Source organism: Homo sapiens, chromosome 12 (assembly GCF_000001405.40).
Source record: "Homo sapiens chromosome 12, GRCh38.p14 Primary Assembly".
In the NCBI taxonomy this organism is placed as follows: domain Eukaryota; kingdom Metazoa; phylum Chordata; class Mammalia; order Primates; family Hominidae; genus Homo; species Homo sapiens.
Window position 1 is genome coordinate 112,871,379 of NC_000012.12, and position 14,015 is coordinate 112,885,393.

The 14,015-nt window shown below is 44.2% G+C and overlaps 1 protein-coding gene across 10 annotated transcripts in view; it reads left to right on the forward strand.

Moving 5' to 3' along the window:
* RPH3A (rabphilin 3A) overlaps window positions 1-14,015 on the forward strand; it is a 323,646-nt gene that overhangs the window by 296,143 nt on the left and 13,488 nt on the right. For 8 of the 10 annotated variants that reach the window (NR_145126.2, NM_001347952.2, NM_001347953.1 and 5 more), the window contains 6 exons: window positions 3,706-3,792; window positions 4,301-4,363; window positions 5,264-5,488; window positions 7,741-7,820; window positions 10,394-10,468; window positions 11,915-12,024. Coding sequence is in view for 8 of the 10 variants with exons in the window: in NM_001347952.2 (NP_001334881.1) it covers window positions 3,706-3,792; window positions 4,301-4,363; window positions 5,264-5,488; window positions 7,741-7,820; window positions 10,394-10,468; window positions 11,915-12,024 (640 nt within the window). In the remaining 2 variants the exon portion in view is untranslated. Of the gene's footprint in view, window positions 1-1,189; window positions 2,781-3,406; window positions 3,580-3,705; window positions 3,793-4,300; window positions 4,364-5,263; window positions 5,489-7,740; window positions 7,821-10,393; window positions 10,469-11,914; window positions 12,025-14,015 lie in introns of those variants that run through there. The other 2 variants (XM_017019034.3, NR_145127.2) reach the window with 2 other exon arrangements.

A 14,015-nucleotide genomic window follows, 5' to 3' on the forward strand; every position in this document is an offset into this window, starting at 1 on the left:
CTCTTTTTGATTCTGTATCTGTGGTTTTGACTACTCTAGGTACTGCGTATCAGTAGAATAATACAGAATTTGTCCTTTCATGACTGGCTTATTCCACCTAGCATAATGTCTTCAAGGTTCACCCGTGTTGTAGCATGTGTCAGAATTTCTTTCCTTTTTAACCCATTATGCTGGAGGTTGCAATATTTTTGTGTGAAAAACCAGACCTTGACGGTGACTTTGAGCAGTAGGATATAAATAACTCCTACAAGCTTAGCATTCCAATAATGGAACACTGGGCATAAATTAAGAATACACAATATTCTATTGTGTATTTATATAGTGTATATATATATACACACACATAATATAGTGTACATATATATACAATAGAATATATAGAAACAGTATATATAATATAAAATATACAATATACAGTATACGTTATATATTATATACATATAGTGTATATACACACAGTGCATATACTATATATAGTGGTGTATATGTATATACATGTATATATACATATATATAGTGGTGTGTGTGTATATATATATTATATATACTACATTCTGTTTATCCATTCACCCATCAGTGGGAGTTTGGTTTATTTCAACCTTTTAGCTGTTGTAAATGATGTCATTGTGCGCCTGACATACAAATATCTGTTGCACTCTGTTCTTTTGAGTATATACCTATAAGTGAAGTTGCTGGATCATATGGTAATTCTGTGTTTAATTTTTTGAGGAACCACCATTCCGTTTTCCATGGTGGCTGAGACATTTTTAGATTCCCACCAACAATGCAAAAGGGTTCTCATTTCTCCATGTCCTCACCAATATTTGTTATTCTCTGGGTTTTGTTTTTGTTTTTAATAAGTCATCCCAGTGGTGTGAAGTGGCATCTCCTTGTGGTTTTGACTTGCATTTCCCTATGATTAGTGATACTGAGCATCTTTTCTTGTGCTTTTGGCCATTTGGATATTTTCCCTGGAGACACAGCTATTCAAGTCCTTTGAACACATTTTAAACTGGATAGTTTGTCTTTTGTTGTTGAGTCATAGAAGTTCTTTATATATTCTGGATATTAATGTCTTATCAGATATATAATTTACACATTTTTCTCTTATTTCATGGGTTGTTTTTTCACTCTTTTATAGTGTCATTTGATGCAAAGAAGGCTTTTATTTTGATGAAGCCCAGTTTCTTTTCTTTTTCTTTTCTTGCCTATGTTTTTAGTGTCATATCTAAGAAATCATTGCCTAATCTAAGATCATGAAGAAGTTCCTTTATGTTTTCTTCTAAGAGTTTTATAGTTTTAGCCCTTATATTTGGGTCTTTGATTCATTTTGAGTTAATTTCCACATATCAAATCCTGCTTTTAACGTCTATATTATTTTGTCTTCTGAGGACAAAGACAGTCATAGGACATTTCTGAACTGGATTTGAATCCCCTGTCCCTCAGGAGTCAATGTAAATATTCGTCTTGTCTAGCTTCTAGCATCCACCTGCTCCACCTTGAGTTGGGTTAGCTGCTACCTTCTCTGAGCTCCCAGGGTGGTGAGACGCAGCCCTAATGCAGGACTTATCACTGTCTAAAGCATTATAGCCTGAATCTCTCTCCCTTGTAATACCAGGGACATGTCTCTCTCCATTAATTTATTATGTTTCCAAATATTTGGAGCATCTACCATAATTTTATCTCTTGCTCATCATTTTCCAGCCTATACTAAGATTCTTAGTTGATTATAGGCTCTCAAATACTTACAGATTTGAATTAATAATCATAATAACAACTTAAACTTATTGAGCATCTACTCTCTGCCGGGTATGTGATTAAACCCTTTGCATGGGTCATACTGATCCAATCCACAGCTCTTTTTGGATAGGTACTATTGTAGTCATCTTCACATAATAGATGCAGCAAAGAGAGGCTAAAACAATCTCAAGGTCACATAAAAGTAATAGCAGGGCTAGTGTTTAACCCAGGCAGTTCACGTGCAGAGCCAATGCTCCTAGCTGGTCTGTTACAAGTTCCACTTGAGGGACTGAGAGCAGCTCAGTAAAACAAATTCCCAGTAAAACTCCCTTGTTCCAGGGCTTAATCCTGGAATCTCAGAGTCCTCCCTCACACACAGTGTGGAAATCCCTTCAGAGGTCTCTGAAAGGCTTTTGATCACCCACATACTCTCTGTCTCCCTACCTCTTGGAGCGGCTTATTCTATTGTTGATGGGCTTCAGGTGTGATTTACACATTCAACAAGATCTGAGATAGATTTGGACAGAAGTCCTACCTTCGGGGCTTCCTGGTTATGTGACCTTGGGCATATTTAACCCCCACTACCTCAACTGCAAAATGGGGAGCACAATACCATGCATGGCATTGAGTTGTGAAGCTTCCATGAGGCGATGTTCAAGGCCTGGTGCATTTGAAGAACTCAATGACTGTTGGGTATTGTTGCATCATAAACTCATCATTTCAGTGTCTGTCTCCTTCCTGTGACTGGGCTGTGCACTCCTGGAGGATATAAGATGGTGTTTTGTTCATCTTAGCACAGGGATTGGCACTTGGTAGACACCCACTGGATGCTTGTTGAATGAACAAATGAATGAATGGACAAATGAACAGGGCCTCAAGTGAACAAACAAATGGCAGTGCTAATGTGGGAACCTGGGACAAGACTTGGTGATTTGTAAGCCCCCAGGCAGAGGTGGTAAAGCACCTTTTGTTATGTGTATTCAAGCATCCATCCAGCCAAAAGTGCTGGATTCAGGAAAGATGGCATCTAGCCCAGTGAGGTAAGAAAAAGCAGGGCTTTCTTCCCAGAACATCACACCTTCTGGGTACCAGAAACTGCTGCACACATCATTCCATTCAGTCCCTCTCTGGGAAACAACAGCATGTAAGGGTCTCTGGCACAGATTCCAGAGGCCAACTGCCAGCGTTCAAACCCTGGCTCTGCAGTAACCAGCCAAGAGACATTAGATGAGCTCAGTAACTTCTCTGTGCCTCAGTTTCCCCATCTATAAAATGGAGATCATAAGGCCCCACCCCATAAGGTTATTAGTAGAAATTAAAGAAGTTCTTATATGTAAAGTCCAGGGCACATGGTAAGCACTAAATAAGTATGAATTCATTATCATTATGAGTTAAGTGGAACTGTTGCCTCCATGGGGCATCTAAGGTTCAGAGAGGATGAGTATCCAGCCCAGGGTCACACAGGCCATATGGGAAACAGCAGGAAGGCAAAGCCAAGTCCATATGAAGATAGAGACACATTCTTTCAATAATAATAAAATAATCTCACCACCTGTCATGTGTCGAGTCTTTAGTACATGCCAAGCACTGTTCTGAGCATTGCCTGTTTGTGTCATTGTATCTTCCCCACAACTCTATCAGCTAAGTGATTATCTCCATATACCAGGTGAGGAAACTGAGGCCCAGAGAGGACAGGTCACTTGAGCAACGTCACACAGGTGGAAGGAGGATTGTAGAACCTGTGCTTTTTAACAACTGCTGCTGCTGTGACTCACCAGAGTCTGAGTATTGAGAAGAAAGAACACACTGAAGGCAGAAGAGTCAGAAAGAGCTGAGCGAGTGAGGAGCTGCCTCCAGTGAAAGTCCAAGGGGCTCACCCCACACCAGCTGAGTGGTCCCAAGCTCCTTCCTGCTGTGTGTGTGTGTGTGACACATAATGGCTGTTTTCTTTTCTTTCCTCTGCAGGTTTGAGACGGGCCAACTCAGTCCAGGCCTCCAGACCTGCCCCAGGCTCGGTGCAGAGCCCAGCGCCACCTCAGCCTGGGCAGCCAGGTACCTGCCACTCACCTGCTAGCACCTGCCCAGGCTGTCACTCGGCTGTGACCCTCATACCTCCCATCCCTGCTTGCAGAGCATGCTGGGCTTTCTGCAAAGCTGCAGCCACAACTAAATCTTAACCTCTTCTAAGACCCTTACAACCAGTAATTCCCTGGGCCAAGAAGCTGGGCAGGGAGTGGGAGGAGGAGGCAGGGAGCATCTTACCCACCCAGTGCAGAAAGTGATGGCACCTCATTCGCCAGTGTTTCCCACCTCAAGGACCAACACCCCCATTTCACAGAGGAGCAAGTCAAGGCTCAGGAAGTTCCCACAGCACTAGGGCTTGGATCCAAGTCTTTCTAAATCCAAAAGCTCCTCTCCCAGTGGGACTGTTTCTGCAGCCTCGGGTACCTTTCTGCCTTCGGGCCTGTGTCCACACCTGTGAAATGAAAAGGAAAAGGTGAACCCCCAAATGATGCCACCCTCTCTGCTGCATCTCTGTTTGTCTCCTCTCCCTGCTCAGGGACCCCAGGAGGAAGCAGACCGGGTCCTGGGCCAGCAGGACGCTTTCCAGATCAGAAGCCAGGCAAGTATCTGCTTCCTCCCATGCCTGCCCAAGTGGCCACCTCTCCCCTACCTCCCTGAGAGAGAGCAGGCAGCTGCCAGAACGTGACTCAGCCTGCACCCTGAGACCTGTCTGATGAGATCTAAACAGCTCCCCCGAGTCTAAAACTTTAGATAGTCCGTACTAAGATTAGCTAGATAGAAATGCCAACACATATAGTTTAGAGCATAGACTACCTGGGTTCAAATCCCTGCCCCTTCACTTCCTGGCTGTGTGACTTTGGACAAGTTACTTAGCTTCCCTGAGCCTCAGTTTCCTAATTTATAAAATGGGAATAATACTAGGACCTACCTCACAGAATTGTTGGGAGGATTAAACAAACTAACACATAGAAAACCTTGGTGGGTGGCCTGGAATATAATAAGCCCACACTGAGCGACAGTGGTTGCTATTAATATATATGATCAATATGCATCACCATCATATGTACCAGTCACAGCTACAAGACACTTTTTGCTTTCTCAGGCATCAGGCACTGTTTTAAGTGCTACACCTGTATTTGTTCATTAAAAAATACTATTATTTGAGGAGCTTCAGATATTATAATTTCCATTTTACAGATAAAGAAACTGAGGCTCAGAGACATTAAGTAATTTGCCGCAGGTCACATGGCCAAGATTCAAACCCAGGCTGTCTGGGCTCCAGAGTCCACACCACTGATTTGTACCCCCACAAGGTCTGTTTTGCTTACATCTGAATCAGCTCGAGGGGCTTATTGTCAAACACAGATCCCAAGGTCCCACTGCATATCCACTGATTCCGGGTGAAGCCAGGAATCCGCATCTTTTGAAAATGTCCCTAGGTGCTGCTGTTATGAAACAGGGATGCAGCTGCATGTTTCCTGTCCTTATCTCCCTGCAGAGGTGGCTCCGAGCGACCCTGGGACCACTGCCCCACCCCGAGAGGAGAGAACAGGGGGAGTCGGGGGCTACCCAGCAGTTGGAGCCAGAGAGGACCGAATGAGCCACCCCTCCGGACCCTATTCCCAAGCATCTGCAGCTGCCCCCCAGCCTGCTGCAGCCCGCCAGCCACCACCCCCAGAGGAGGAGGAAGAGGAAGCCAACAGCTACGATTCGGATGAAGCAAGTAGGTGGTGCCTAAGGGAGAGGTATCTTGGAAAAATCACTTCAGGAGCCAAGCCCAGGAAAACAGGAACGGCTCAGGAACAGCCCTGTCTATCCCCAGACCCCTAATATACCAGACCTAATAAACATATTAACCAAGTGATAGAAGTACAGATTTGTGTTTCTAAATTCACAAAATATCAGCTTCCTAAAGAGTAAGTGCTACATATATTTTTTATTGTGGTAAAATACAAATAACATCAATGGTACCATGTAAATCATTTTAAAGATTGCAATTCGGTGGCATTGACTACATTCTTGATGTTCAGTCTACTAGCTCCTCAAGAGGTTAAACATAGAATTATTATATGACTCAGCAATTTCGCTCCTAGGTGTGAATTTTAACAATTTTTAAAACTCTTTAATGTATATCTTCTAAAAGTAATTTATTAATCATGATTTAAAATTTACTGGGCATTTTCTCTTGCATCCTTATTGAATGCCTACAATGTACCTATCCCACCCAGGCCCCAAGTCCCAGGGATACGCACACACGTATACACACACACACGTATACACACACACACACACACACACACACACACACACACACACCAGTGGCATTTCCCCCCGCTAACCCTGGTGTGCCTGGGGCAGACTTTGTGAGCTGGAGAGAGGTAGAATTGGCAAGTGTCTGCATCCAATATGTGTTGGTGGGTGGGGACATTACCAGTTGTTTCTGATCAAGTTGGAAAACTGGATCCACACAGAAGGAAAAGATCAAGGGCTGTGACCAGCAACACGGCCTTGACCTGCCATGTCATCTCTCCTCACTGTAAAATGAAAAGCACAGCACCACCTCCCCCACAGGCTAAGGGGCAGATAAACTGAGATACCTTCTGGGAAGGTGCTTCATAAAATGGAAATCATTATTACATAGTGCTAAACACCCACGAGGAATTGTTGTTATGCGTATGGACATCAGAGGTAATAAAAGTCCACACGTGTTGGGCACTCATTTTGTGCTGGGCACTATTCTGAGTGTATTCTGTGCATTTGCCTATTTAATCTTCCCTACGAACCTGGGCATAGTTGCTTTTATAACTCTCATTTTACAGATTGAGAGATGAGGCTCCAAGAGGTTGAGGGACTTGTCCAAGCTCATCCAGTCAGTTCAAGGAGGGGCTGGTGGTCAATCACACAGCTGTAGCAGATCAGAGGCCAGGACTGCATGGAAGATCAGCTGTCCCCCTTCGTGCCCTGTGCACTCCCATGGATCATGGGTCTGCGGTCTCAGGAGAAAGGAGAGGAGTCCACCCATCTTGTCAGCCACAGGCTGGTTCTGCTCTGAAAATGCCCTGTCTATGCACCCTTCTGCCTTCCCTCATCCTGGTCCTTCCCTGGAACACTGGCTACTGCTCCTTCCATCGGCCTTAAATGTCCCCAACCCACCAAGCATAGATGAGTCCTCCCAGCCTCATGTCTGTCCCTGTTATTAACTTATCCCGGCTGTTTATTACAAACCTGTCTCCATACTCTATACTCTTCACACACTCACTCATCTCTATATTTGACAATGGTTTATTGAGCATGTACAAAGTGCCTCAAACTGTTCTAGATGCTGGGGATATCATGGAAAAAAAAAGATAGACATGCCAGCTATTCTCCTGGAGCTAACACTCCAGTGAAGAGAGGCAGTTAACATACCAACGAATTCATTTCGAGTGGAGACAGAGCACCATAAAAGAAATAAAATACATTGAGTGACTATGATGGTAGCTACTTTAGAGAGTGATCAAGGAGGGCTTCTCTGAGGAGGTGACATTTAAGCTGAGATATGGATAACGAGAAGGTGCCAACCATGTAAGGATCTAGAGGGAGAGCATTCCAGGCAGAGGGAACAGCAAATGCTGAGACTCATTTATTCCTTCAGCAACTAAGTGAGCACCTATGATTATGTGCCATGTGTTGTGACTGGGGACACAGCAGTCAACAAGATAATCCCAGCTATTGCCCTCATGGGGTTCTCAATCTATCAGGACAGAAAGGCATTACCTAGGCAAGTGCACAGATGATGAACTGATCACAGATGTCCTGAGTGCTCTAAGGTAGTGCAGGGTCTACCAAGATGAGGAACTCACAGCAAAAACCGAGTTTTCTTCTCTTCTGTGGTCTCAATTCACAGCCCAGCCTGGGCATATAGTAAGTGTTCAGGAAATGTTTGCTGAGTGACTGAATATTCGTTATCTTGGTTCCTGTCTCTGCCCCCTTCAGCCACCCTGGGTGCCCTGGAATTCAGCCTTCTCTACGACCAGGACAACAGCTCCCTGCAGTGCACCATCATTAAGGCCAAGGTGGGTGATGGGGACCATGCAGGGAACCTCTCAGGATGCTCTGGCATGGCTAGGAGACTCAGATGGGGATGGATGACCAGGCCTGTCTCCTGTTGTTGCTTGTCTATCGATGATAGTGACGGTGATGAGAAGAGTCACAGTAATTAGGCAAATTCCTTTCTGGGAGGCCTTCCTCCTCCAGGGATCGTCCCAGAGGGGTTTCACTTATCTGCAACCACCTCCTGGGAGTACATGCAGCTGGGCTTCAAGAGCAGAGTTGGCCCCTATCTGCCTGGGCCAGCAGTGTCTCTGGAGGGGATGGTGGAGGTTCTGCCCAGGAGGAGATGACAGCCTGGCTCGACAGCTGACATGGCCATGGAATGGTCCCATCCCTGTGTCTGCCTGAGGCCCCTTCTGCTGAAGCGGCTGTCACTCTGAAGCAGCAGCCGAGACACAGGGACACTAATATGGGCTTCCAAGGGGGCGGGACAGCCTCGCTGCAGGCCCTGGGGGAGTGAGCTGACTTGATTCCAGACCCCAGGGGAAAAAGCTGGGTGAAGCCAGTGCAAACCCCAGAAAGTAATTGACTAGGATTGAACCCCTACCCTGCAAAGCCCCAAGCCTGGTCCACACAGAAAAACAAGCAGGGGCTCAGGAACCAGGTTTCTTGGGTTCAGATACCAGCCCTGACCATTCCTAGCTGTGTGACTTGGGAGAAGTGACTTAAACCCTCTGTGTCTCAGTGTGCCTATTTGTAAATTGGGGATAATAGTAGTGTATCTCCCATAAGGATAGTTGTGCGCACATGTTCCAGTGTTCCCAGGACAGTCCCCTTCTATGCCTGTTGCCTCGCTATAATAATTAATTGCTTCCTTTTTCACTCTTAAAATGTCTCAATTTGAATGATAAATGAGGTATGAAATGCTTAACACAACTCTTAGACCAACACATTCCTTTGCCCAAGTCACTTTTTTATTGAGCACCAATTATGTATCAGCATTTATTGGACATCTATTATGTATCAGCATTTATTGGACATCTATTATGTATCAGCATTTATTGGGCACCTAGAATATATCATCATTTATTGGGCACCAAGTATGTATCAGGATTTATTGGACACCTATTTATTATCACTGTGGCAAGCACTTAGAAGCACTTAACACTGCCCCTCCACCCCCGCCAATAACACAGTGAAGTAAGTGCATATACATTATTTTGTTTCCTTTTTATAGAAACTTCTGAGGTAGGGATTCTTATTAGCCCCATTGTACAGATGGGGAAACAGGCTTAGAAAGTTAAAGTCTGAGCTCACACAGCTGGTAAGGGATGGAGCCCATCTTTACAGGCAAGATCTCATTTAATCCTCTAAGAGCCCCATGAAGCAGGAGTTGCTGCCAGCCCCATTGAACAAGTGGGGAAACAAGATCCAAGGAGATCAATGGACACAATACACTTGACCCTTGAACAATGTGGGAGTTAAGTTAACCCCCTGAGCAGCTGAAAATCTATGGTATAACTTTTGATTCCCTAAAAACTTAACTACTATTAGCCTACTGTTGCCTGGAAGCCTTCCTGACAACATAAACAATCAATGAACACATCTTTTGTATACTTTAGGTATTATGTACTGTATTCTTACAATAAAGTAAGCTAGCTGAAAGAAAATTCAACATTTATTGAGAAAATCATAAGGAAGATAATATATATTTACTATTCATTAAGTGGAAGTGGATCATCATGAAGGTCTTCATCCTCATGGTCTTCATGTTGAGTAGGCTGAGGAGGATGAGGAAGAGGAGCGGTTGGTCTTGCTGTCTCAGGGGTGGCAGAGGTGGAAGAAAATCCTCATATAAGTGGACCCACACAGTTCACACCCGTGTTGTTCACGGCCAATTGTGCATGGTATAAGTGCTGTGCAGAGGGATGACGGGAGCCCAGAGGTGGGACATCTGCCTGGTCTGAATGTAGGGGATGGACAGAGTATGTCTAAGCCCCAGGAATTTGGGGATTGCTCATTTTAACAAATCAACTTAATTCCTACCTACCCTAAGCTTCCTTCCTCTATAGTATCTTATCTGAGCCTCATCCCAGCCCTGATGGATGGAGACACTGAAGTCTTAGAAGAGAATGCAGGGGTCAGGGCCAGAATGCAGGAGCATCCTCCTTCCCCCGACCTTGCCTTTATTCTTCTGGGACATGTCCTCCCATCCTAGCAATAACAATCCAGCCTTGATCCAGTGTGTACCATATGCCAGCACTTTATAGGTGGAATTGCATTTAAATCTCACCACCTCATGAAGCGGGTACTGTTCTTATCCCCATTTGACAGGTGGGGAAACTGAGGCTCAGATAGGTTAAGAAACTTGCCTAAGGTCACATAGCCAGGAAGTGACATGGCCAGGTTTAAAACCCTGTCTCCCATCCCAGTACTCTTTCCATGATACTGCATTTCCCTTCTCTCTCTTTGGAGGAGGAAGCACACAGCGTGGACCAACAGGCAGGACAGATGCCAGGGGCTATGCCCATTGCCGATGACAGCTGAGCACTGGGCCCTCCTGAGGCCCTCACACCATTGCCTCCTTCTCTTGCAGGGCCTGAAGCCCATGGATTCAAACGGCTTGGCTGATCCCTACGTTAAGCTGCACCTCCTGCCGGGAGCCAGCAAGGTACCATATGGCCTGGGCTTCTCTGCAAACCGGGTGCATGGGCCCTGGCAGATACCCAGGGTTCTCAGCTCAGAGCCCAAAATAGCCTTATCTGCCCCAAATCCCCAACCCCACCTCATCCTGTGAGTAGCAAAGCCATTGCAGAGCAAGTAAAGTATGTTCCAGGGGTCATTCTCCCTTGGGTAGGGGCTCTGCCCATTTCTCCAACTCAGAAACCTGGGATCTGGGCAGCTGCCAATGCCAGAAGAGAAGCAGATGCCCTGATGATGCCCTTCATCTGCTCGAACACCTTCAGCGGCTCTCCCACTGCTGACTCTGGCTCACCTCCCCTACACATTTTATGCCCCAACCACACACTCCTCATCTCTCAATAGAAATGAGTGGCTCTCTCCAAATTTTAGGACTAAGCACTTTGGAGAATATTCTCTGAAGCCCTGGCCCTCCCACCCTTCTCTCCCCTCAAGCTCACCGGCTGAGCATTGCTTTACTCTGGGGTTAATTCTCCTCTCTGGGGATTGGCCTACCCAGAGTATATGGCTGGAAATGGAAGTGTGCCTGCCTGGTTTTTGTTTTGTGCTTTGTATTAATTTGACATAGATGTCCTAAAGGCAAAGGTGGCAGTACATCTGTCAAATGATCTTCAGAAAATGCCTGTTAAATACCCCTGCAAGTACCAAATGCGCCATGAGACAAAAGAGGACACATGTACGCACCTGTACACACCGCCCTCCACCCTCAACACACACGCGTATACTTTGTCTCACTCTTTTCTTTGGATCAAGGAAAGACAGTTCCTCACCTGGCCATGGCCAAATTATGAAGTGTTTGGCCCCTGCTCCTCCTCACTCCCCAGTGATGTTTGCTTCTCCTCTAGATGCCCTCCTTTACCCACTCCTAATAGCCAAAGCTGCTTTGCTGAAGAATCTAATGTGAATCATTTGCATGTTAGCATGAATGAGATTTGTCACCAGGCCACCTCTTCTGGGCATAGTTGCATTTCTAGCTTTCTCTTAGAGTAAAATGAAAAATGTTGGCCCCTCTAAGGAATTTTAGGCATGAAGGGTACTATCTGGGGGGAACAGAGAGAACCATCCCAATATCCCCTGCCTAAATGGGAATGGGTGACTCTCATTTCTGTCTCCCTGACCTATAAATGATTTCTTCTCAAAGGAAGATGTCTCTGCTTTCTTAAGGGAAAGTTCAAGGAGGAGGCTTAGTGCATGGAGGGAGAGGGGACCCAGTGTCAAGCATTGATCCATTTTTCTGTGGCCATGATCCTAGAGGACATCCCCCACTCCCTGAGAACATGCATTTGGGAATAACTAAGCCCCTGGACACTCCTATGGGGAAAGCCACCCACCCACCCCACGTCAGCCCAAACGATGGGGTTCCAGGACTGGCTCCCCACTGAGGTAGGTGTCTCTGTCCATCTCTCTCGGGCTCTAGTCCAACAAGCTTCGTACAAAAACTCTGCGGAATACCCGGAACCCCATCTGGAATGAGACCCTCGTGTATCACGGCATCACCGATGAGGACATGCAAAGGAAGACCCTCAGGTACCTGGCAGGCAGAGGGCAGAGAGGGAGGCAAAGGGGAGACTCGGGGTGGGTGGAACTGAGACTTGGGGTGAGGCCCCCAGGGCTTCACTCTAAAAAGATCTCTACATAGTTTATTTTTTTCCTTCTTGTTTACTTTTACCAAAAAATGATATATATATTTGGTAGAACTTTTGGAAAATACAGATAAGTTGAAACTGTTTACTGTTAACATCTTGGTATCTGTTCGTTCAGGGGGTGTGTGTTGGGGGATGGTGCGTGTGTGGGTGTGTATGTAAAAGTTTTTTCCTAATAAAATTGAGTGCTTATAAAAATGTTTATTACAATAGATCATCTCATTAGTACATCTGTATCACTTAAGAATACACTGATGCCATTTCACATTCTTCTACAGTGTTGAATTATTAGGCTGGTGTGAAAGTAATTGCAGTTTTTGCCATTAGAAGTAATGGATATATATATATATCCACTTTTATTTATCCAGTTTTATTTATCCAGTTTACTGTTGATGTATTTGGGTGGTTTCTAGTTTGGGGCTATTACAAATAGTGCTGCTAGGAACATTCTAGTAGCTGTTTCTAGGTGCACAGGTGCACTTATTTCCATATATATATATATGTATGGAACTTGCCTTTTTTTCTTAACAATATATCTCAGTATTACAGCCATGAAAAGACATTTAAATCTACCTAATTTTTAACTGCCTCAGAATATTCCACAGAATGGATTTATCACAGATTTTTTTAAATGTTCTTATCCTTAAATATTACAAATGAATAGAAAAGTGTAGAATATACTAAAACAAACATCCATGAACCCACCCGATACTTGATCTGTTAAAAATCTTGCTATTTTGCTGTGTTTGCGTCAGCTCTTTTTTAAGAAATAAAGCACCCCCGATGCAAGTTGAAGCTCCTTTTGTATATTCTATCTCCCACCCTGTCCTGTCCTCTTCCTTCTCTCCCAAGAGCTAGACACCATCCTGAATTCTTTGGGTATCATTCTCAAGTATGTCTTATACTTCATAATTATGTATCTATAAACAATGTACAGCATTGTTTGGCATGTTTTAAATTTTTGTGTAAATGTTTACCAGTTTATTTAGCCAATTCCCTTTGGGTGGACATTTAAATTGTTTTCAGCTTTTTTCTATTACAAACAAAGTTGCAATGAGCAACTTTATTCTTCCTTGTGTACATATGAGTGTTTCCTTAGGACAGAAACCAAAGAGAATTATTACTGGATCATGGGATATGTGATGTTTTCCAAAACAATTTTACAAGACATGCAAACTGCTTTCCCAATTGGCTGCAACATTATTCTAAGTAAATATTTTTATTGCGGCATAACATTCATTTAGCAAAATGCACATATAAATGCACAGATTGATGAATTTTCACAATAGTGAACATACTGGGCTTAAGGAATGGAACATTCCTAGACTGCAGAAGACCCCCACTGTGGCCCCTTCTTATTGAATGCTCCCCTGGGGTATTCAATATCCTAACATCTTACAGGACAAGTTAATTTTGTCTGTTTTTGTACTTTATATAAATGAAATTTTATTGTGTGGCTCTTTTGTATCTATATTCTTTCATTTAACATTTTACATGTGTATTCATCTAAGTTGTGTGTAGTTGTAGATCATTCTTGTTGCTATTTAGTATTTTATTGCAGGAATATAATGCAGTTTTATTTATCCAGTTTACTGTTGATGTATTTGGGTGGTTTCTAGTTTGGGGCTATTACAAATAGTGCTGCTAGGAACATTCTAGTAGCTGTTTCTAGGTGCACAGGTGCACTTATTTCTGTTGCATATATACCTAGAAGTGTAATGATTGAGCCATAAGATATGGGTACGTCCAGCTTTAATAGAAACTGCCAGTTTTCCATAGTGGCTGTGCCAGTGTGCACTCCTATCAGCCATGCATGGGAGTTCCAGTTGCTTCACAGCCTCATCAACACTTTTTCATTTTGGCCATTCTGGTAGG